Raw genomic sequence first — 25,006 nt, forward strand, 5'->3', positions numbered from 1 at the left:
CCTAGGTGTACGCGGACAGTTTGCAATCAGGTGTACATGGTTCTAAATTGTCTACTTACTGCCTGTATATGCATATGTGCCCCTTTCTTGTCCTCAGGAAGCCTAGAGGTGGGTGGGGAAAGATGACACATCTGAACTTATCAGGGCAAGGGACCTTCTATGCTGAGATCCTCATGCACACCCCAGGCAGCCAGAGTTCTATCGCCCAGAGGAGGTGCAATTCAATGGGGTTTTCTAAAAATAATTCCAGACACCTAACCTCAGCATTCAACCTGCACTTAATTTTTGTTTTTATTAATAAATTTCAGTATGATTTCTTTTTTTCCCTCTGAATAAATCTTTCCATTTGCATTGCTTTCACATGCCAACTGAAAAATGACGAGGTTCATGAGTTTGGAAAGGAGAGCTTTATTTCCCATAAAGAGTTGCACCTTGAGGATGGCCATTCTGACAGGCTAAGAAGCATAACTTCCCGTCAGAAGCAGAAACAGACACAAAGGGAACAGGAATTTTGCTGAGTAGGGTGGCCTAATATACATATTTAATAAGCTATGGGAAGCATCATTAATATTTAGGAATGGAGAAATGTATGCATGCACAATTGAGCTTCATGCCCCTTCCTGGGTCCCATGTACAAAAAATGGCAGCATTAGCATGACCCGAAGGTTGAGTTTCCAGCCCTCTGACTGTCAAAGGGTGAAGCAGAGGACACGAAAACCCTCACTGCACATTCTCCATAGGCTGGCCAGAGCCACTCCATGGCAGATGGTCTCTTATCAGGCAAAGAAGGAGGGGTAGCATCAGGGGTTGGTTGATATCAGAGTGGAGTTTGAAAGGGCTGGTTTCTGGTCAGCCTTAAGGGAAGAAAGCTTCATCCTAGTTATTAAGGGTGGGGGTATAGCAAGGTGTGTCTGATCTATCCCATCACAGCCGAGAACTCGGTGTTCAAGGTCACCCTAGGGTCCCTTTGACCAAGAGATGGTCTGTTCAGTCAAGTAAGAGGCTTAGAATTTTATTAGCTTACACACACTTTTGGTATTTAGTTTTTTCAGTCATATTCCTCTCATGTTTTAGAATAAGGATTCACACTGTTTTGTGTGACTGGTTCAACTTTATTCCTTTGGCCTGTTGTTTTTAATCCCGTAGAGCCAGAATTAATAGTGACATGAGCTTTAGTTTCCATTTGGTTTCAGGAAATTCAAAACAAGAGATCATTGTTTTCCAATATTTAATTATATAGGCTGTGCCAAAGTAGACATTTTATTATTATTTTATTTTGATTCTTGCAGTTTCTGTACTTGTTTCATTTTCACAGATAGGTGGTACTTTCATTGAAATAATCATCTTTTATTCTTGCGTACCAAGTTTAAAGAATTTAATTTACATTTTATGATTTAATCAAAATCTGAACATGACCTTGGAGTTTATTGTTTTAATAAAATTGTTTCCTTAGCTCCTGATCCATCTTAAACTTCATTGCAATCCTTGCATATTTATTAATTATTTGATTTTACACAGTTTTATGATGTGGGACAGATGGTTGATGACTAGCTCCTTTGACACTGGTAAAATGAGACATGCAGCTTTAATTTTTTATGAAAATTATAATAGATCTAGTGGGGAAAAATGAATCTAGAAACTAGCTATTTTTTTTCAGAGTATCTTAGATTTGTATTGGCCTCACTGATGCTGAGCTCTGCAACATTTCACTTAAAAGAGTCTTCAGCAAACACAGTGTCTCATGCACCTTCCTGTCCTGGAAATCCTATTTTAGCCAAGGACATAATGTGCCAACATCTGAATCCTGGACAGTGTCTCTTTATGTTTTGGGGTTATTTTTAAAGTGTGTGTGACATATAGATTTATTTGCACTGAATAGGAAAGATGTCCACAATATATTGTTTAATGAAAATAAAAAGCAAGCTAGAGCACATAATACACATTGGAGGGTTGGGTGTAAAATCTTGGATCAGACGGCTTTGGTTTAAGTCTTAACTCTGGCTTCCTAGGAGCTGTGTGACACTGGCCCAGTCTCAGAACCTTTCTGTGTCTTCATTTTCTCATCTGGTGACTAAATAATAGTCTCTTAATTCACAGGATCCTGGTGAGGATTAAATGAATTAATATGTATACACACAGCGAGCAGTGCCTGGCACACAGTGAGTGTTTAAAAATATGCATATGTCATTTTGCAAAAGAACACATTTTGGAAGAACATAACCATTCATCTAACAAATATTTACTTAGTAAACTGCTACCAGTGATTACCTCTAGGGCATGGGAATGAGAGAGGCAAGGGCAAGAGGACTGAGTTTCTGCTTTATAAGCTTAGGTATTGTTTTAAAATTTTGCTTGTTCATGGAAGATCTGCTTACTAGGGCAGAGATTAGGAAATAGACCTGAGAGCCAGCCTGTGTGTGTGGCATCCTGCATCTGTGTTTACAGTTAGCCGTGTGACTTGGGACAAGTCTTCAACTCCTTGGTACATCCATTTCTTCACCCTTAAAGTGGAAATCATAACAGTCCCCACCTCGTATGGCTATTGTGTGGATGAAATGAGTCACTACATGCATTTCACTTAGAAAAGCACAGAGGTTCCTTGAAGGACAGAAGTGATTGGCAGCTGTAGCAGTAGCAGAGGAAAGGGTAGGGTCAAAATCTGCAATGCCCTGAGGTTCTCATGATGTTTGTCTTTGAAATCATAAAAAAAAAAAAAAAAAAAGAATTTAGAAAACATGTCCCTGAAAAAACAATCGAAATCAAAATAAAATTGTAGGGTTTTTTTCTCATTTCCATAATTTCCTATTCATCTCACAATAGTTTTTAATCCCTTAGCCATGTATAAAATTCTTTGCTCGGTATCTTACCCAGTTTTTCCTATTGGTGAGGTTTTTCCGCTTTGTATCTTATCTCTTTCTTCACCTCCTCCACTTCTCCTTCTTCTTCGTCAGTAGAATTCACTTTGTTTTTAAGGGTCTTTTGCTCTCATCTTGTTGAGAGGAATCACAATGACTGTCTTTTTCTGGCCAGATTTGCTTTTCTAAGAAAAACTGATGACTAATAAAGCCATAGGCATCAAATATGGATCCACTAAACATTTTATCTACTAAGGAACCACTTTATTTTCATCACAGTTGGAGAGTCTAAGACAGATTTGGAAACTCAATAAAGGAAGGAAAAGGAAAAAAGCTTTTGATATTGTCTTCAAGGGATGAACAACCTAATAGTAAAATAAAAACGTATATATTCAACAAGGGATATTTCAAATATTTAAACAGGGAATGGCACAGGCGCAAGTGGATGCCTTGTGGTGGCCGCCTTGCCGGCATGCCCAGGGACCTCAGCCGTGAGTGTGTGCAGGAAGCAGGAGAGAAGATTCCCATTTATTTTATTTTATTTATTTATTTATTTTTATTTTTTGAGATGGAGTCTCACTCTGTCATTCAGGTTGGAGTGCAGTAGCACGATCTCAGCTCACTGCAACCTCTGCCTCCCAGGTTCAAGCGATTCTCGTGCCTCAGCCTGCCAAGTAGCTGGCATTACAGGTGTGTGCCACCATACCTGGCTAATTTTTTTGTTTTTAGTAGAGACGGGGTTTCACCATGTTATCCAGGCTGGTCTCGAACTCATGCGCTCAAGTGATCAGCCCACCCTGACCTCCCAAAGTGGTGGTATTACAGGCATGAGCCACCGCGCCCGACCGAGAAGTCTTCCATTTATAAAGCTTAACCCACCAACAACTGTATCAGAGGCTTTACCTCCTGTTTCATTGAATCACTTAACCATACAGTATTACTAGTCTTCATTTTCTGGTGTTGCACAGAGGATCCCAGAGATGTAATAACTAACCTGAAGTCTCACGGCTCATAAGTGAGGAGCCAGGACACAAATTCAGGCTGTCTAGCACCTTGCAAGACCCTCTGGTGCCTTCAGTATATGGCAAGCATTCACTGCCCTGGAAGATAAATTCGAGGGCAGCAAAGAACAATTACAAAACAATTTCTGTATTATGTGATGCTCCTTTTCCTCAGAAAAATCTAGCTGGATTGTGTCCATGACCAGATGGACATTTGAAGAGATGATGTGTTTACGGAGAACTCACCTCTTTTTCTCTGCAGCAGTAGAGGTTGAAGCAGTTCCACGACAACTGCCCACGTATGTAGGGATGCCCCTTCTCCTGGCTGTACTTCCTTTCTATGCTGAAAGATGGATTCCACTGAATTCTTTCGTTTCTTGGGTCCATCCCTCCCGAGTGCCACTGGGAGAGTTTGGGAGAAAGCCCGAATTTGTTTCTCAGCCCTCCTTCCAGCTGCCTCTGCAGTCTCCAGTCCTCTGCTCTCCATCCTTCCAAGTTACTGCTCATCGGACACAACCTCCATTCCTGCCTTTTCACAGATCTTGCTTTCTCGAGCCCTTCTGTTACTGGTTCTCCCATCCAAAGGGTAACTATTACAAATTGTTCTACCCTATAGACACATACATGCATATGTTTATTACAGCACTGTTCACAATAGCAAAGACATGGAATCAATCAACCTAAATGCCCCTCATCAATAGATTGGATTTTTTTTAAATGTAGTACACATACACTGTGGAATACTATGCAGCCATAAAAAATGAGATCATGTCCTTTGCAGCAACATGGATGAAGCTGAAAGCCATTATCCTAAGCAAAGTAATGCAAGAACAGAAAACCAAACACGGCGTGTTCTCACTTATAAGTGGGAGCTGAGCATTGAGTACACATAGACACAAAGAAGGGAACAACATATACCAGGGCCATACATGAGTGTGGAGGGTGGGTGGAGGGAAAGGATTGAAAATCTCCTGTTGGGTACTATGCTCATTACATGAGTGACAAAATAATCTGTAAACCAAACCCCCACAACACATAATTTACCTATGTAACAAACCTGCCCATGTACCCCTGAACCTCGAGGTTAAAAAACAACAACAAAATGTAACTATTCATCTCAATTAAAACAGAGTAGAGGCAATCGTTCTAGGTCTGCTCTGGGAAAGACATTTATGCTAACTCTCAAGGCACAAACTTGAGTAGGTGAAGATGAAAGTGTCCCTCCGGGGTCTGTGCCGTCCTGGGAGAGACACAGTGAAGTGCTCTGTGAGGTAACAGGAATATGTGCAGAGTGCATCGGGGACATAGGCTCTTCCCTCTGTTTGGAATGCTGTGTCCTCTCTTGACTACATGGCAGCTTGGAGTCTTATTCCTCAAGACTCACAAAATGTCCTTATCTTTGCTACCACCACATCAACTCAAGCAAAGCTAATCATCTATACTGCTCCTTCCACTGCAATTATTTTGTTTAGTTCATGGCATTGCCAACAAGTGGTTTTCCAGAACAAGAACCACATCCCCAGTCTAAGCCTTGTAGGCAGTACTCAAACACATTTACTGTGTGAAATAATGATTGAAGAGTTGAACACGTGAATATGAGATTCCTTTTTTGCTGGGTGGGTGAAGAATGTGATTTCCAGAGAAGTGGGACCTGATTCTTGAAGAGATGTGGAGTTTGCCTCATTAATTAGTATCAGGACATTTTCCTGGTTTTCCTGAGAAACACAACTCTACATTTTTCTGGGTCTGTATGATCTCCCTTTAGAGCAGGGTTTCTCAGCTTCGGCACTATCAACATCTTAGCAGCCTTAATTCTTTGTGGGGAGCTGTCCTGTGCATTGTAGGATGTTTATCAGCATTGATAGCGTCTGCCTACTATATGTCAGTAGCACATTTTCCCCAGGTTGTGACAAGAAAAGTGGCTCCAGACATTGCCCAATATCCCCTAGGGCAGAGTCACCCTGGGTTGAAAACCACTGCTTTATACTCAACAAATGTTAGCTCTTGTTAGGCATGAAAAAGACCTTGCTGTAAAGTCAACCAGCCATAGAAAAATTATGGAATTGATTTTACCATTTTTGAGAAACTGCTGTGGGCCAGTCAGGCTATACTGGGTGCTTTATACAGATTCTATTTCATCCTCAAGTATTATAATCCTCATTTTGTAGATGAGGATGTAGGATCAGAGTGCCTAGGCAATGTGCCCACGTGGCAGAATCGGGTGTACTTCCTGGCCCTGCATGCTATGGCAGGTTGTTAGGCGTTTAATGCGCGCCTCCCACATTGCTTCTACTCTCTTTGCAAATATACAGTTCTATCTGCGTGCATGAGTTGGGGCGTGCAAATAGGCTGAAGTCTGAAGGGAAATCAGATGTGTGGAACATGTCCAGATATAAAAATAAATACTCTGATAAATATGGACCTGGAAAAAAAAAGCGATCACGAGTCTAACTTAATCATGAAAGCATAAATATTAAGCCAAAGGAATTTTCTTCACCAGGTGTCCTTTCAGTACCTAAACTGACATATTAGAAATATTTAGTCCAAATGACTGTTTTCACTAGATTTTTCATCAGAATAACTTCCACAGTTATATTAGATCAGCTGGTATTTTAAAAGCACTGTTCTTTATCCTCCACTATAAAGGCACAGTATTAAAAACACATAATAATAAATACCTCTTTAAAATGTTGAACAGTAATCAGCAAATCTGTTTGCAGTGGAACAGAATCCAGCTGCACTCTTTCCCTGTTTCTCTCAGAAAAGAGTAACTTCAGCAACAAGGAGTCTGCCCTTTCTGGGTGAAGGGGTCATACTAATATTTAACAAGAACCTCTCCCGCCTGCTTTTCACTTCGTGCCATTTCTTTAGATATTCTAATGACAAAAGGTTTTAGACTTGCGAGTGCTAATGCAAGGAAACATCAGTCGAATCTAGGTTTTTGTTTTTGAGGAAAAACTGTTATTTCAGCAGCTACTGCTACACGTAAGAGGTCCTGATGCAAATCCTTTTCCAAGCACCCTGCATTGTTGTTGTCAAGGTCCATATTTATCAAATCAAGTAAAAACCCATGAAAAGTGGCAACCGAGGGAGGAGGCAGCAAGATAAATCAACTTTCTAAAAAAAAAATTCCCCTTTTTAAATAGAATTTTATTCCGGTTTTGGTGTTCAGAGATGTTTTGTTCACAATAAGAGCCATTGCTCCATATTAGGTAACATCTTTTCCCCCTTGCAGCTTCAAATGAATATCAAGAGCCAGGTTCACAAGTTGGATTCCCTTTAAAGACACGTTTGATTGCAAAGCTTTGTTGACTCTGTTTGATATCCTCCGCGAACTGCATGACTGAGCTAAGCTGAAGTTCCTGGTCACCAGCATGGGGAACGGGTAGCTGCTTCAGCGCCTGCTGGCAGAGAGGTCGTTCTCCGAGTCTGCTTTGCCACCTAGTGGTTTGATGTGGTATTGCCATTCACCAGGTAGTTTTAAAAGTCATTTTAGCCGTTGAATGCTATAGTGAATTATGACAGAAAACAGAGACACTCTAAGCAAAGAAGGCAGTCAGAGACCCAAAACAAGCCCTGAAAAATGACGCAGACTGGATTACAAATAGGGAAGAGGCACTAAATAGTTGGTCTGAGAAAAAACGCACGGCTGTATGTTGCAAAGATATTTTGGGTTTTTCCCATATCATCACTTAAAAAAATAATTATTATTATAGACGTAGAATTAATTTAGACTTCTAGAAAAATTTATACGCTTTTAATTGGTTCAGCAGGTTTAAAAATCGAGAGCCCTCAAACATTTTTCCCAAGTAGGTACTGCCCGGTTGGCTCAGAGGACATGAAATGAGTTTATCTCCTTGGAATTCATTATAACCAGAAGCCTCACATGTATATTGGCCTTGTCCGTTTCTGTAAGCAATCTCACATGTATTTCACACTGGATATTTACACATTTTTAAATTTTTTAAATTTACCTATATATTTCACAGACTTATAACCCCAGAAAAGTTATTTTTTGCCATAACTAGGGGGAAGAAGGCAAATTTCCTAGAACTAACCTTCAATTTCTCCTAAATTCAGTACTGTCAAACTTTTTTGTCTTTTTTCACATTTTTTGTTTCACCCTCTTCTTTTAAATATTAATAAAAGATGTCAAAATATCCACTGCAGTGGCTTTCCAACATTATTCAACACAAAATACATTGTACGTACATCATGACTATAGACATAATTTTATACGTGTGTGTATGTCGAGCAAAAATTTAATGAAGTGATATTGATTGTCATTATGTGGTATGCATTCTGATACGTCCTATTCAATTTGCTGTACATTTTTTTCTTTTTTAATTCTCATATTGGCCCACTAATTGGCTCTTGCATTTTGAACTCAGTGTGTGTGTGTGTGTGTGTGTGTGTGTGTGTATATACACACACGCATATATATCTATTGAATTTAGTGTGTGTGTATATATACATAAATACATATATACATATATAAACACATATACATATACACACATATACATATATACACACATATCTATACACATGTATGTATATGATATGTATATACATACGTATATATGTGTGTATATATACTCACACACATGTATATATACACACATACCAAGTTCAAAATGCAACAGCCAATTAGCGGACCAATTAGTGTGTGTGTGTAGTGTGTGTGTATATATATAGTAAGTTCAACATGCAATGTATATATACACTAAGTATATGTACATTGTATATAAGTAAGTATACTAAGTACATAGTATATATACACGATATAAGTACACTAAGTATATCGTATATATATACTAAGTATATATACATACACACAGATGTAACTTCCCCACAAAGGCACTGATGGTACCCACGTGCAGGATCTTGCGCAGTTTTCCACTTCTTGCCTGAGCTCTGGTGCCTGGAACACTTCAGTAACCATTCCCTGAATGTTGCACCCACAACCTGGCAGGGAGGGAGCCTGCTCTGACCCCAGAGAGGAGCCAGGCACCTGCCCCTGGTCTGCCCCTATCTGACCATGCCCTGAGCCCTCATGCAGGCTGCATTCCTAGAACTCTTGCCTGGGATTACTTATAAAGTGCGAAGGTCACTGGGCTGACAAGGATCTCTGTTCCCACCACCTGTTTATTCCTGAGCATTACAAGGAAAGACTTCCTGTAGGTCCCCTCACCAATATCATTCAATTCAATGAGTGTAGACTGTGAACTTCCTTGACTCAAAATATCCTAATGCTATGGAATAGCTGTTGAGTCAGGATGAGGAAGGAATATTAAACATAGGAATGATACCTTCTACTCAGAAAATCACCGTAAACTGAGGGCTCTTAGCCCGGGGTTATCACTGCTTCATTTGGGTCTGACCTACAGTCTTGATTCTCAGGAAGTTACATATTACCTATGAAATAATAGATATACCTGAAGTAAAACATTTGGTGACTCTCATTTCTAATAAGTACTTTTAGATATTCTTTTTTTTTTTTTTTTTTGAAATCCTTATGACCGGCTGATCACTTTCTCCTGTTGTCATCCTGGGTACCGATAGGACCTCCGTTGCTGAGCCTCCAGAGAACAGTCCTTTTAATGAGGCCGTGGCCCCAAGGCCTCGGAGAAGTTCATAGAAAATGTCTGAAAGAAGGTGGGAGGGATCTTGTTTCCTGGCCCTATAGGGACATTGTCTTCCTTGATAAAGCTGGGTACAGCCTTGATATGAATAGATTGGGGAGCACCAGGAATGTACCTCACCTGGGCTGTCGAGAAAAGACAGTGTGCTCAGAAGAGGTATGGCAGGTGCTGAATATTCCCTTGGAGGGACGAAGGCAAGAAAGGCCCCTACAGCAATGAGGGGAGAAAATCCACAACCCAAGTAGAACTAGGATTTCTTATGTGTGAGACAATACATTGCTCATTTACATGTAAAGTGTGTATAATATTTTTAATCCATCGTATTCAGGCGAGCAAGATCAGTCATTTCATTTTTGTATAACTTGCCTCGAAGCTGCCTGTTGTGGCCCCATTCTGCATAGCAAATCACCACAAACTTAGCAGCTTACAACAAGGTTCCCTGTTCAGGGTCTCAACACTGAAATCAAGGTGTTCGCCCAGCTGAGTTTACGTCTTAGGCAAGACTAAGGAAGAATTCATTACCACAGGCATTCAGGTCATCGGTGCTTCTGCCATGGTGACCTAGTGACCTCTGAGCAGCTGCCACCTCTGGGCACCAGACAGGAGGGCATGAGGCACGCATCTTCTTTGAGTCTGATCAATATTATCAGATGCGACCTCTTTTTCCTCCAACCTTCTCCGCATTTAAAAGCAACAGCAGAGTGTAAGGCAAGATTCCAAGCCCTCCTTGGCAACCATCACCAATATCTGCCCCCTTTTAACTCTCTTCTTCACTTCCTTCTGGCTTCGGAAACTTTGGGATTTTTTTTTTTTTCCTCATTCGGGACATTACAGATTGAGCTGAAGTCTTCTTTGTCCATCACCCTCAATCCTAATTTTATCTTCCTCCTCCAAAATACCACTGCTAATATATGATTTGCATGTAAATCTTTCTATCCTTCTATGACAATTTTAATTATATTAATATACTAAAGGTGGTATCTGTCTATATGTCTGTATACAACCTTTAGTATACAGGCATGTACAATCTTTAGTATACTATTGCTGTGTTTTATTGTAAACTAAATTTTATCGTGTTGTATTTGTCATCCCACAACTTGCCTTTCTTACTTAACAAAGTATTTTTAGATGGTTCTAAGTTAATATATATCTAGTTGATTGCTTTTATCTGCTGCATAGTATTCCCTTTTATGAATGACCTCATTTTTGAATTCATTTCAAAACGAATGGTCTTATAGATTTTCCTCATTTTTGTCATAAAAATAAATGCTTCAGTTAATAGCCTTGGGCGTGTCTCCTTGTGTACATACGAATGCAATAATTTCTAGAGGGTAGATACCTAGCAGTTGGATTGCTAGTTCATGGTGTACATGCCTTTTCAGTTTTAATTAATACTTCCAAATCACCTTTTTGTAGTACTTATTATCAATTTATTCACTCTGGATGTGGCAAGGGGAGATTTTTCTTATTTTCCTAGTGTGTAGGTCAGTATACCATGCATTGATGCTCAGAAGACCAAGTGTTTGCAGTTTCAAAGCCCTTATCTTTAAATCCCTTCTCTCTACCAGAGTATTTAAAATCTACTTTAAAAAGCAAAAAATGAGGAAACACTGGTTTCTTTCTCCCTGTGTTTCTAAAGTAACAACACAACCCTGAGAACACAAAAAGTTAGCATTGGGAGAAGGGAGGCAAGATCCCCGTTAATACTTCAGAGTATTAGCCTACAACACCACAATGCTTCTTATCTTCTCCATAATCTACAGATCAGGCGATAGTATTCTAGTTTTATAGATGAAGAAAGGTCGTCTCAAAATAGTCAAGTAATTTGGTAAGTTTATACATCTCCTGGGCCAACCCAGAACTCAGACCCAAATCAGCAAAACTCCAAAGAAAGACCACAGCTTTTCAACTCTGCTCTATTGCTTTCTAATAAAAAAAATTAATGACGATGAGAACATCATCTTTATTAATAGAGTGGTATTAATGTATCTCATCACATCAGAACCCCAAATGAGTACCCACGACTTCCTAAACATTTCTGTCTTCGTAGCTAGAAGTCACAGTGGGTTTTAGTAGTGTGCTTTGCTTAAAATTTCTGCTTCCCATTCAAAAGGCTTTATTTTCCTCAAAGTTATGTTCATATACCACATTCCCTTCTTTTCTCGTTGCTTTAATATCTGAGGTTCTTAGAAGGAAACCCAAGGGTAGCATTAGGACTGCCATGGTTATTGACTATTAACTCGTTAACTTATTAACTCTTGTCCTTTGGATGTTGTATCACATGGGTAAGCAAATGCCTATAAGTCATTTCCCTCTAATGGTTCTTGTCTACCTTTAAAATTTTTGCTCATCTCATACTGCACATCTATTGCATGACAGAAAAGGACTGGAACATTTTTAAATAAGGAAAAGCACATCTCTGAGAATTTCAGAAACGTATTAGATATTGAATGAATGTCAAAGTGTAAGAAGAATGATGGCCAATGGTAGATATGACAAAGAGTACAGGTCAAAGATAAACAGGTATTTAATTAACCTAATATAGAGAGCTAAACTCACCTATAGCTGACTTTCCTCAATTCTGGCTTCTTTCATTTTCTGTATTCAAACAAAGCATAATTGGACTAGAATACTATTCATTTGGGGGGGCTCTTCAGATTCACAGGATGAAATGAACTAAAAGAAAACAACTGACCTTAGGCTAATTTCGAAAATTTTTACTTATATTCTTCAACAATATAGGTCAACTGAGCAAATTAAATTGCTGTTGAATGTATACAAACATAATGTGATTATCCACAGAGAGTAATTTGATATTGCCTAAATAACTTTGTGTTTTTAAAAATCTTTTATTTGTATTCCATCTCTTACCTGGGGGTGAGTTTATGAAATGCAGAGGCTGTGGAATCCCTGAATTCCACAGCACCAGTCACCATAATCTAAAGCTAGCAGTGGTTAAATGAGCTTGTGCTGATATTGACAAAGACAGAACACCTTTTAGTTGCAGGTGACAGAAAGTATCTCTGGTAGCCCAGGCAACAAAGGAAAGGCAAGGTCAAGGAGGTGGTGTTCACCTCAGGAGTGGCTAAATTCAGGTTTCAAAGGACATCATCATCATGCTGTCTCTGTTTCCCATACTCCCTCCCATCTCTCTCCTTCCTTCATGCCTTTCCTCTATGTTTGCTTACTCTAGATTTCCCATGTGGTGGCAAATAGGGTGATCAGCACCTAGTAATTCCAAATATAAGAGAATCACTGTCTCATTCCAACATCCACATCAAATCTCCAAATCAACCCTCCTGCCTGGGTCTTCTTCATGTTCATTGTTGTGGTAGAGGAGCGAGGACCATCTGATTGATGCCTGTCCCAAACTACATACTGTGGGTGACAGGCTATTTCCAAAAAGACAGCTGAAAGAAAGACAAATAGTAGATACCCACTGCATGGCTTTAACCAACAAAGATGAAAGAAGAAAGAAGTATCATCAGCACAAATATGAATATAGCATCGGGATGATTGGGCATTACATTATTTATAATAAAACCAGCATGGCATAAGTCCTGAAAATGGGGCTACAGGACATGATTACCTCCCATGGGACATGAAAGCAGAGACCTAGATAGTAGAAATGAGGAAACGTAGCTGCTGTGTTCAGGAATCTCAGGAGTGAAGGAGATTTCAGAAAGAGAAAGGCCCTTCAGAGTACATGAGAAATAAACACAGGCCCGGTGCTGGAAAACCAAACTGGATGAATAAAGATGATAATCTAAAGAGGACCAAATGCCACTTATCGGCGTATGGGGCCGAGAGCATTTAAGAGGCACCCCAGACTCCCCAGTAGACCAATAGTAATAGTAGTTATTAACCTCAGAGACAGGGTGTTGACCTGATTAAAGGCACATCTGTCCTTGTGAATATACATAGTCACAGGTGCAATGGAGAGATAACAAGGCAAACACCTTTAGAACTGCAGTAAACTGGTATCTGGATGGGGGGAGAGCAGCAGACAGATCTTCTGTACATGCATCTTGGAAGAAATCCTGAATGTAATTGTGGGCTACAAACAGTGTGTAACACTTCCCAAACCCAGACATCACTCAGTGAGGGAGAATGAGAGTTAAGTGTAAGTTGACACCTAATAAAACCCAAATATTTAAAAAAAGTAAAAGAGAATAGTCTTGTCAATTTCCTATAATTGAAAATCAGTGCAATGTCAGATATTTCAGCTATGGGAAAATAATATTAGATTATACAGAATATTTTGTGTTATTCCTCTCTGTAATTGAGTTTTATATTAGAATATTTAGACTATTTCAAATTTTGTATTATTTCAAAGAGTACTAAGGTGAACATGTGTACATGTATTTATATGTGCATATGTGAGTGTATTTATGTCTAACATTATAGGTATTATGTGTATACATAGAGTCAGACAGCTCCTGAGATCATGGATTTTGGCATTTTTGACAAACTGCAAAATTGTCTTTCAAATGACCAATTTATACTGCAACCCCAAGACCATGAAAATTGATTATTTTTGTCATACTACTGTGAATGCTGAATGTATCAAATCGTTTGCATCTTTGCCATTGTTTCAGGTGATAAAGAGTATCTCATTAATTTTAACATGCACATCAATTCCACCTTAAGGAGGCGTGTGATGATTTTTAACCAGCTAGGAGGTGCTAGTTGTATAGGACACCTGGAAGGAGCTGGTGGAGAGGCAGCACAGCCTCACAGTTACACATGGAGGCTGTGGGTTCAGATTGTCTGGATGGAACTCTTTAGGTCCTCCCAGACATCACCTTGTTAGCTAAATTCCCTGCACAGATTATTTAAATGTGTCTTCCTTTCTGTAAAGTGAGGTTATTTAAGGATTAAATGAGATAATACACTGGGCATGGTAGCTCATGCCTATAATCCCAGCACTTTTGGAGGCCAAGATGAGCAGATAACTAGATGCCGGGGTTTTGAGACTAGCCTGGTCAACATGGTGAAACCCCATCTCTACTAAAAATACAAAAATTAGCCAGGCAAGGTGACACATGTCTGTAATCACAGCTACTCAGGAGGCTGAAGCATGAGAATCACTTGAACCTGGGAGGCAGAGGCTGCAGTGAGCCAAGATCACACCCCTGCACTCCAGTCTGGGCAAGACTCTGTCTCAAAAAATATAATATAATAAATAAGATAATGCATATGATGCATTTGCACAACACGTACCACACAGTAAATGTCCAATAAATAATTTCTACTAACATTTATTATTGCACTAAATTTAGCTCTGAGCATCCTGGCAGCCAAAGCAAAGAGAGCTCATTGTTCAATAAAAAGAATAAGATAATAATCACAGATACTCATATAGCATTTACTGTATCAGCTCCTGTTCTAAGTACTTTATATATGTTAAAACATTTTGATGAGAAACGAAGCTTCTTTGGCCACTTATTGAATTCTGGAAAGAATTGATCAACAATTGATTCTGTTATACAGAAAATTATCATTCCCATTTTTCAATGAGAAAACTTGGACTCAAAGAAGTTAAATATCTAAGTTCTCACCTCCAGTAAGTAGTCAAACAGATTTGAACCTAGGCCTTTTGACCCCATAGTCTTCCTGCTATGCCAGAAAGCCTTTCCAGAAGTCTCTGTGTGAATCTGACTACTGCTTTGAGAGACACTCTGAGAAAACTCTGGCATTCAATACCTTAAGGCTTGATTCAGGACTCTTGCAATGCACTTGCATATGTATGTTTATCTGTAAGAGTTTATTGTTGAAGATTTTTTTTAACCAAGAGCATAAATGTAGTAGCAGGGTACACAATAGATTTTTGCTGGGATGATCAAACTTTGAACTCATAGAATGACACTGATTGAGGAATGATTTGCTTATCTAGTGTACGGTGGCTGGCGGTGTGTGAATTCCTGAGCCAGTGGTGTCCCAGAAGTACAGCCCTGGAGGCTCTGAGAGAATGGTACAGGTCACAACCGAGGCCAACAGTGACACCAAGGAGGTCTAACTGTGGCACCTTAATTGTAATGCTTCTTAGTTGTTCATATACTCTGGCAACAAGTGTGTGAAAGCACTAGTTGCAGTTTTGCAGTTTTTATATGCAAATGTGTGTGGGTGTGTCCATTTGTTCACATATGTGTGACACGCTAAAATACATTTTCATGCTTGGATCTAAAATATCTAAATACTAGAAATATTTAAAGCTGGTTTGGTCCATTCAAAACGTTCTGCTAAAAGTTCATCTGCATGTTATCAAGTAGAAGATAGCTTTCCAGGAGATAGTCGTGTTACCAGTCCTTACAAGGAACGGATGTCTTACTTTTTTGATCCTGTCTCAAAGAGGCAATATAGTGTGAATTGATTTACATTGGTTTTATCCCTTCTCCAGGTTGGCATTGCTCATTTTAGTAAGACTTAAATGGCTGGTATCACCTTAAAGTTGCGTATTTCTGAAGCCTCAGATGGGTAAATGCCCAGATAGATAAAATGCAAATCAAGTCAAGTTATCAATTTAGCATGAAGATAAAGCTGTTTGGATAATTGTAATAGAAATGTCTGATATTTTTCACCTTTACAAAATAAGAGAAGTAAGGGCGATTTTGTCTAGTAACAGAATTACATGGAATATATTTAGAAATGAGAAAAATGTGGGAAAAAAGCACAATGTTCAGTGCATGCCACCAATTATATAATACTATCTCAAACAAATCGATGTCTGTCTGCCCTAGACTCCACTTATTTAAAATAAGAGAATGAACTTGATGTTTGGCTTCATAGAGATTCAGCACCCTGTAATAGGCCTTCCATGTCTTTTAACGTATGTAATGCAAAGAACAAACAAATAAAGGCAGAAATTTTTCTAACTCTGTCTCTTCTCTCTTTCCCCCAGACTATGTCAGAGAGTCACAATGACCTTGCACAATAACAGTACAACCTCGCCTTTGTTTCCAAACATCAGCTCCTCCTGGATACACAGCCCCTCCGATGCAGGGCTGCCCCCGGGAACCGTCACTCATTTCGGCAGCTACAATGTTTCTCGAGCAGCTGGCAATTTCTCCTCTCCAGACGGTACCACCGATGACCCTCTGGGAGGTCATACCGTCTGGCAAGTGGTCTTCATCGCTTTCTTAACGGGCATCCTGGCCTTGGTGACCATCATCGGCAACATCCTGGTAATTGTGTCATTTAAGGTCAACAAGCAGCTGAAGACGGTCAACAACTACTTCCTCTTAAGCCTGGCCTGTGCCGATCTGATTATCGGGGTCATTTCAATGAATCTGTTTACGACCTACATCATCATGAATCGATGGGCCTTAGGGAACTTGGCCTGTGACCTCTGGCTTGCCATTGACTACGTAGCCAGCAATGCCTCTGTTATGAATCTTCTGGTCATCAGCTTTGACAGATACTTTTCCATCACGAGGCCGCTCACGTACCGAGCCAAACGAACAACAAAGAGAGCCGGTGTGATGATCGGTCTGGCTTGGGTCATCTCCTTTGTCCTTTGGGCTCCTGCCATCTTGTTCTGGCAATACTTTGTTGGAAAGAGAACTGTGCCTCCGGGAGAGTGCTTCATTCAGTTCCTCAGTGAGCCCACCATTACTTTTGGCACAGCCATCGCTGCTTTTTATATGCCTGTCACCATTATGACTATTTTATACTGGAGGATCTATAAGGAAACTGAAAAGCGTACCAAAGAGCTTGCTGGCCTGCAAGCCTCTGGGACAGAGGCAGAGACAGAAAACTTTGTCCACCCCACGGGCAGTTCTCGAAGCTGCAGCAGTTACGAACTTCAACAGCAAAGCATGAAACGCTCCAACAGGAGGAAGTATGGCCGCTGCCACTTCTGGTTCACAACCAAGAGCTGGAAACCCAGCTCCGAGCAGATGGACCAAGACCACAGCAGCAGTGACAGTTGGAACAACAATGATGCTGCTGCCTCCCTGGAGAACTCCGCCTCCTCCGACGAGGAGGACATTGGCTCCGAGACGAGAGCCATCTACTCCATCGTGCTCAAGCTTCCGGGTCACAGCACCATCCTCAACTCCACCAAGTTACCCTCATCGGACAACCTGCAGGTGCCTGAGGAGGAGCTGGGGATGGTGGACTTGGAGAGGAAAGCCGACAAGCTGCAGGCCCAGAAGAGCGTGGACGATGGAGGCAGTTTTCCAAAAAGCTTCTCCAAGCTTCCCATCCAGCTAGAGTCAGCCGTGGACACAGCTAAGACTTCTGACGTCAACTCCTCAGTGGGTAAGAGCACGGCCACTCTACCTCTGTCCTTCAAGGAAGCCACTCTGGCCAAGAGGTTTGCTCTGAAGACCAGAAGTCAGATCACTAAGCGGAAAAGGATGTCCCTGGTCAAGGAGAAGAAAGCGGCCCAGACCCTCAGTGCGATCTTGCTTGCCTTCATCATCACTTGGACCCCATACAACATCATGGTTCTGGTGAACACCTTTTGTGACAGCTGCATACCCAAAACCTTTTGGAATCTGGGCTACTGGCTGTGCTACATCAACAGCACCGTGAACCCCGTGTGCTATGCTCTGTGCAACAAAACATTCAGAACCACTTTCAAGATGCTGCTGCTGTGCCAGTGTGACAAAAAAAAGAGGCGCAAGCAGCAGTACCAGCAGAGACAGTCGGTCATTTTTCACAAGCGCGCACCCGAGCAGGCCTTGTAGAATGAGGTTGTATCAATAGCAGTGACAAAACGCACACATCAACCCACAGACCTTAGGAGGAGGAAGGCGAGGGCGGGGTGACTTCTGGTGATGATAAAAATGGTTTTATCACCCAGATGTGAAAGAAGCTGCCTGTTTACTGATCCATTGAATAAACCCATTTTAATAGAAAAAGTCAATACCAATTCAGCAAAAAGAAAAAAAAAACATACTACTGAATATAAAGAAATTTATTCTGAAATAGACTTTACGTGTTTTTTTCTTAAAGAGGAGAAAAATATTGCTTGACGGCAATTATATACCCAAAGTGATTTGCCTGGGTCCTTTAATTCCCATTAGCTTTGGAATCTCAGATGAGCATAGCTGACCCAGTTCCCACATTCTTCCCAAGGATCCCAAAAGTGGGAATCCAGACCCCAAGTGGAACACTGCAGGCTTACGAATCTGTGGTTCCAAAATTATTTCATACGTTGCAAAGCTGAATCTTCTTGTCCCAATAGAGCTTCCTGTCTTTTCTTTGGTGTGTTGTTAAACTCTATTTGTGGACTTGATTCTTGATTCTTGCAAAGTACTGTTTTGTGCAGTTCAAGTTTCGTACAAATAAAAATACTTAAGTATATATATATGTGTGAGTTCTGCACGCACACACATAGTGTATATAATATCATGGGAAACACTGAACTGGCAAATTATTCCTGCAACATACGCTTTCAGTACTTTGGTAACTGAAGTTCTCTAGGATCCTAATGCAACATTAACGTGAAATAAGCCCAGTGTAATGTTTTTGAAACCAGGGCTGTTTTCCACAGAGAGCAGCCAGGCCTTCCCAGCAGGTCTGTGCAGAGCGGACAGGCTCGTGAGTCAGCTGAGCGCCGTGGCTTCGCCAGACTTGGTGTTAAGCAACCTCCTTTGTTGATGTCTCAACAGAGCTAAATCGGGGCCCCTCTGAGCTCAAAGAATGAACCACATCCACACGTTTGAATTTAATCATCTAAATCTGAATGTTTCAGAACAAAATTTCTGCTATCTAAACTGCTTGAAACTCAATAATAGTGTCACGTTTGAATGTCATACACAGCAATATATATATATGTGTATATATATATATATGGCAAAGCAAAAAAAAAAACATGGTAAGAGAGAATGAAGGAGAACATTGTGTTTGATTCTTGCTGAATGGCACCTTCTCAAAGAAAATAGGGCTTGCACCTTTGTTAATCAGCTGTGGCCAGTGCTTTCTGGTGTTCATTGTGTAACCTTCACCCAGGAATAGGTGAGGTTTTAGGAAGTTACATGTCCTCTGAAGAAAGAATTACACTCTGAAAAGTAATGCTTCAAATTGATTTCCTTACCTTTTGGGAAAAAAAAAAAATTGTTTTTTTGCATTCTCCCTTGAATTGACCAAAATGTTAACTGTTTCATTTGGGGAGGGGATGGGGTGCTGCCATCATTGTCGTTGTTGTTGCTGCTGTAGCTGTTGGGGTTTCTTTTCCTGTTGCCGGGGCTGTTTGGGGAGAGGGAGGGGAGGGAGGTGGGAGGGCCGCGGAGATATCTTCCCTTTGTACAGGGCATTCGTGTTGTGAACCCAGAGCTGGGTAGAAGCTGCTTTTGTATTCAGTGTGAGGTGGTGTTTACAGACGACTTTGACAACAGTAGAAGTGTACTCAGTGGTGTCTGTGTATCTGAACTATTTAATTTCGTGTTATGTTTATATGCAGAAATATTTATGGATACTACACCAAGTGTTTATTTAATGTTGATAAATATGACTCTTCAGTCGTCAGCCATGGTGTCCTTTCAAAGTGATTCTTTAAGGTCCACTTGAGCAATGAATAGAGTATATTGGAGCTTTCCTGTGGCTAAGAAGAAGAAACATGTCATCCTGTTGGCATCACCAAGCACCTAACTCTTTCTAGGTAATAAAAAGTCAACGGTCACTTCAACGTAAATGTTTAAAACCACTCTTTAGTTAAATCTGATGGGAACTGAACAAAGCTCCACCATTGTGTCTGAAATCATTTTACACAGGGAAAAAAAAAAACAATCAGCATAATTGTAAGAATGATTTTTTTGGGCCCACATTCAACCAAAGAACAAGAAAGAAACAGACGATTTTCTAATATGTACACAGCAAACTACAGAATGTCATATTATCCACCTGTGAAACATCTAGTAAGCAATTGCATCTATATTTTATTTCTCAAGTTGGCCTGGCACTAATAAATATGTGAAAGCTTATTCAAGTGTCCCAGTACTTCAGCACTTCCCATCCTTTTGGAAACTCCTATCTTGCCTCCCTCCCAAAAGGGCTGTTTCTTTTATTAAAAAAAAAAAAGAAATAGAATTAAATTTGAGAAAAGGAGAAACCCTGAAATTTAACAGAACTTTGAGAGTCACTTCCAATCTCCTTAAACATGATTATCTCCTTATCCTTGTCCTTTTGTGATGCTAATAATAGCAGAAAAGGAACAAATCCAAGACTCTAGGTCTCCCTTTTTTGTTTTACTGGTTTTATTATAGAATTGTTTTTAAGCCTCTTATGGATGAAAGCTGCATTTAAATACTATCTACTGATTTTATAGAAAGGTATGTCCATTTCTTGGGTCACTTTCAGAGAAAGAAAACAAGCAAAATAGGTTCTTTTGAATATGAATAATTTAAAAGCATAATTGAAGATGTAGTGAGTATTTATAATTGGACCTTAGTTACACGTGCATTTCTCAAAGGGCTTGTCATTACAGGAGATATTCAGCACTTACCTAAGATCAAAATGTCTTCATCCCAAATTGGGAATCGAATTATTTCATGCCATATGCATGAGGTTTGCAGACATTTCAAGATTAGCCACTTTGCTTGAAAGAAGAAAATGATCAAACCTAAAATAAACTACACATGGAGAATCTCTCTCTCTCTCTCTGCCTCTCTCTCTCTCTTTCTCCCTCTTCTTCCTTCTCTCTCTCTCACAAGCACACACACACACACTCAATCTCCATTCTCCAGGCATTGCCAGATGGTTAGGAGAAGTGAGCTCTCTCTGGTCCCCTAGATCCCTCGGCTCTGCTCTCCTTTGCCCATCAGCTCCCTGTGGCCTCTATGCTAGTCCTCCCTATTCTCCTAGTCACCCTTTGCCTCTTAAGCCCAGCCTTGACTCTCTACATATTTTTCATTTCTCTTTACCCTTTAGTGTACAATAGTTGTAGACTCTGACGGAATGAAAACAAACAAGAAGCCTAAGCGTTAGACCCTGCTGTGGCTAAAGATCTAGAAGGCATATCAGTTTTCTCTGTCAGGCTTCCTACGTTGCCCTCGTGCAGGGCTCATTGCTCTGCAGAGCGCTGGAAGCCCCTTCATGTATCGAGAGAGAAGCTGGAGCACAGAGCTCTGATGCACAGTTGGCTGTTTCAGCTCTGACTCAGGGAGGAAAGAAGGATGCCAAGGCTCTGTCACAGCGGAGAAGTCTAATACCAGAGTGGCACAGAGAAGGATTCCAGGGATCAGTCAGGGTGTCCTGTACCTATCTGAGTAGAGATGATTCAAGGATGGGGACATATTCCAGGAAATTGCACAATCTTCCCCTGGCAGCTTCAGAGGACGAGTGAAAATAGTGCAGTATAGTCAAAGAAGCAATGAATTTAGGATGAGGAACCTGAAGTTTCTGGACCAGTTTGGTCACTGCTTAGTTACATGTCCTTAGGAATGCTTGTCACTTAACCTAAACTTTCTGGGTTTTATCCTCATTGCTCAAACTAAGCAACAACACCGAAGCTTCTCTAATTTGCCTTCTGATGCCAAATCGGTCAAAACTGAGGTCAGCAGCTACCATGACGAAAGTAAAATGGTATATTGGGTGAATGTTTGAAAATTTCAGATTTTATATTCTGTAAAGTTATTTACTTACTCTATTTCAACACCACAAAATCTTGAAATTTGGAAGGTAACCAAGGAAGCTTTGAAATTTGTTGGCAAACCCGGAGTAGTATGGTTTCAAATACCACTCCAACCCAGCACCTGAGGTCGGGCAAACTCACAAAATAGAGTTTCTAGGTAGCAGGTGTTTGCTTTGGTTTTGCAATAGCATTTCTCATAACAGAACTGAAACTGTATAGATTACAACACTCCAAAGTTATTTTTTTTTAACCTAAAGAACCCTACTTCTAGCACCTCCTCTGAAAGAATATTTTGCTCCAATACCACGTGCAACAAACTTATTTAGACAGTATCAACTCTAGCCCTTAATAGGTTCAAGGACAAGTTTACTGCTTCCTTTCTACACGCTTAAGTTACACTCTCTTCTCCTGTTCTGATGACTCTAAATCTTCAGCCTCTCCCAGCATTAATGTGTGAGTCAACATTGCAGACCTGAGAAAGGTTTCTAGAATGGTAACCCAATGTTCTTTAGAACTGGAGAATTCCATTTTCCTTTTCTGGCTTTAGTGTTAATGTCTGGGAAGGGAGGCTCATGATAAGAAAATAAAAATGAGAAAAGAAGATCTAGTTCATAAAATGACTATACCCCACGTAAGTTTGTAACTGCACAGTGTTTTGTTGTACGGCTCAGAAATGAGCAAGTGTTAGTATTATTAGGCACACATCACGTTCACAGCTTCGCGCAGAGACGGATAGTGTATTTGGATATATGGAAGTCATCCAAATGCGTTGCTAGAATATCAGGCCTATGTTTGTTCTGGTAGAACCACAGAGACTCACACAAAGTTCTGACCCTACCACTCTGGTCTGGGCTGAGACCACCCCAAAAAATCATCTAGAGAATCAAAGGGGCTCACATCTCAGTTGCATTCTATTTAAAAGATAAAGGGGCCATACTCTCCACTGCAAAGAAGCATTAGTAAAACTTCCCGCACCCAAATTATAATCCGGCAACCCTAGCTTCAGCTAAAAAGATTATCCCCAGAATCTAAAAGCTTACTATTGTTCTTTCTTGGAGTCCAAAATGCTTAGCAGTTCTGCAGTTCACATACAAAACTCAAAACTCTTTTTATCCTGTATTCTGTGAGTTCCTTGATGATAGTAATTGGGTCTTATTCATCACTCTGTATCCTGTGGCTCACACAGAATCTGGCAAATTGCATATATTCAATAAATGTTGAATATCTAATAACCTCCTTATTAATATAACAAATATTATCAACATTCTGTGCACATCAATGTCCCATGCTGCTACTGTAGTCAGGAGTTATTTGGCTGGGAAGTGGAAAGTGTTCACAAACATGATGCTTATCTAATAAAATATCACTGAGCAATAAGGAGAAATATTTTAAATAGATTTGAAGTTGTGAACAAATAATTTAGAGTCCAAAGAGGAAAAAGAAAATTAACTCTGTTTTTTATCCCTAGAACTCAGAAACTTTACTGGATTGGTCAACAAAGACAAACTTTTTATTGTATAAAACAGTAGAATTCATGGAAGGGATAATTCTTTTGGAACAGGCTTCTCGGTTACTTGCCTTAGTAAAAGAAGTATCTGGAGGGCCTGGAGAGTTCATAAACATAGTTTTCTGTGCAAGTGAAGATCTGTAGTTTGGCTTAAAAATCCTTGCATGTAGTTTTGCTTGGCGTGGAAAGTTATTAGGAGACAATCCTTTATCCTGTTCTGCAAGCAATCAAACACATGATCTCCCTTCTAGCCATTCCTCATCCAGTACATGGGCATTTCCAGCCTCCTACATGTAACACTTCAAACTTCCTCTGGGCGTCTGCTTAGAGCTATGTGATGGCCACAGTTTGGGCAAAGCCCTTCTTTCTTTTAAATATAGGAACTGTTACCAAGTTTGGTGCAGGCTTGAGGAATAATTACATAAAAATGGGCTTCCACGATGGTGAATCAGCATGCTGATTTCTCTTGGCAGGAAGCTCTCAGGGAAATGTCTGTGAATCATTTAAAGATGCTCTCTGGTGGATAGAGAAACCGCAGTCCAAAAACAGATGGGTGTATATTTGCTTTGTAAGCAAAGGGCATGTATCATACTCGCATCTAAAACAGTGTCCACATCTTTGCCAAAGGCACTGAATTTTACCTTTTTTTATTACCTCGTGGCCAGCACTTCCTCAGTAGGCATTTCAGGTGTGTCACAAACCATGTTCATTTTTAATCTTGAAAAAGTCAATCGTCTGTAGTCTGTACTATAAAATGATGCCTGCAACTTTGTGGTGAATATTATCCCCAAGTTAACAGTGAAATAAGTAAATAAAACTATTATTGAACAAAGAGTGTGGTTTGCTTTTATTTAACCCAGGGCCTATAATACAGCCACAGCTTTTTATTGTATAAAAGGGTAGAATTCATTGAAAGGATAATGCTGAACAGACTGCTGTTTGCCTTGTCTTCCCTTTCTTTTTCACATGCAAAAGAACTTTCTTTAACAACTATCATCATACCATCATAATCCAAATACTTCCTGAGTATATACAGGTGTAAACTATAGCTACGCATATAGTCCTTACTCCAAAAGTGCATGTGAAGAAAAATATTTGTCTGTAGACACATAACATGGAAGGGAAATTTTCTCTTTTGTAAGGAATGCTTACCTTTTTTTCTTTTCAGGTGTATTTTTGTTTCTTTTAGACTCCACAGAAAATATTTTCCCACTGGAAAAAAGAAAAACAAGCTTCATATTTTATTACACTGACTTTAAAATTGCTGGAAGTGAAGGTACAAAGAAGTTACTCTGGGCGAGAAATGACATTTTTTTGAATGGCATGCCTGGTCACTTCATGATTCTTTTACTGCTTCTTAAGCTGACCCATAGAAACCAACCATTGCCTCTTTGGTCTTTAGTGCAAGAAAGAACAAG

General features: G+C 40.1%; 1 protein-coding gene and 2 long non-coding RNA genes across 35 annotated transcripts in view; 1 reads left to right on the forward strand and 2 right to left on the reverse strand.

Moving 5' to 3' along the window:
- The window catches only part of CHRM3 (cholinergic receptor muscarinic 3), a 528,883-nt gene extending 504,463 nt beyond the window's left edge, over positions 1 to 24,420 (forward strand). For all 32 annotated transcript variants that reach the window (XM_047443115.1, NM_001375982.1, XM_047443164.1 and 29 more), the window contains one exon: positions 16,403 to 24,420. In XM_047443115.1, coding sequence (XP_047299071.1) covers positions 16,422 to 18,194 — 1,773 coding nt within the window. In that variant the 5' untranslated portion in view covers positions 16,403 to 16,421 and the 3' untranslated portion in view covers positions 18,195 to 24,420. The remainder of the gene's footprint in view (positions 1 to 16,402) is intronic.
- On the reverse strand, positions 6,989 to 8,842 carry CHRM3-AS1 (CHRM3 antisense RNA 1). The gene is made up of 2 exons (NR_046582.1): positions 8,734 to 8,842; positions 6,989 to 7,362 (listed from the first exon to the last, which is right to left on the reverse strand). It is a non-coding gene; the product is annotated as a CHRM3 antisense RNA 1 (long non-coding RNA).
- Positions 23,570 to 25,006, reverse strand: part of LOC105373224 (uncharacterized) — a 38,407-nt gene continuing 36,970 nt past the window's right edge. For both annotated transcript variants that reach the window (XR_949315.4, XR_001738559.3), the window contains exon 3: positions 23,570 to 24,800. This is a non-coding gene — a long non-coding RNA (uncharacterized LOC105373224). The remainder of the gene's footprint in view (positions 24,801 to 25,006) is intronic.

Source organism: Homo sapiens, chromosome 1 (genome assembly GCF_000001405.40).
Source record: "Homo sapiens chromosome 1, GRCh38.p14 Primary Assembly".
Taxonomy (NCBI): Eukaryota; Metazoa; Chordata; class Mammalia; order Primates; family Hominidae; genus Homo; species Homo sapiens.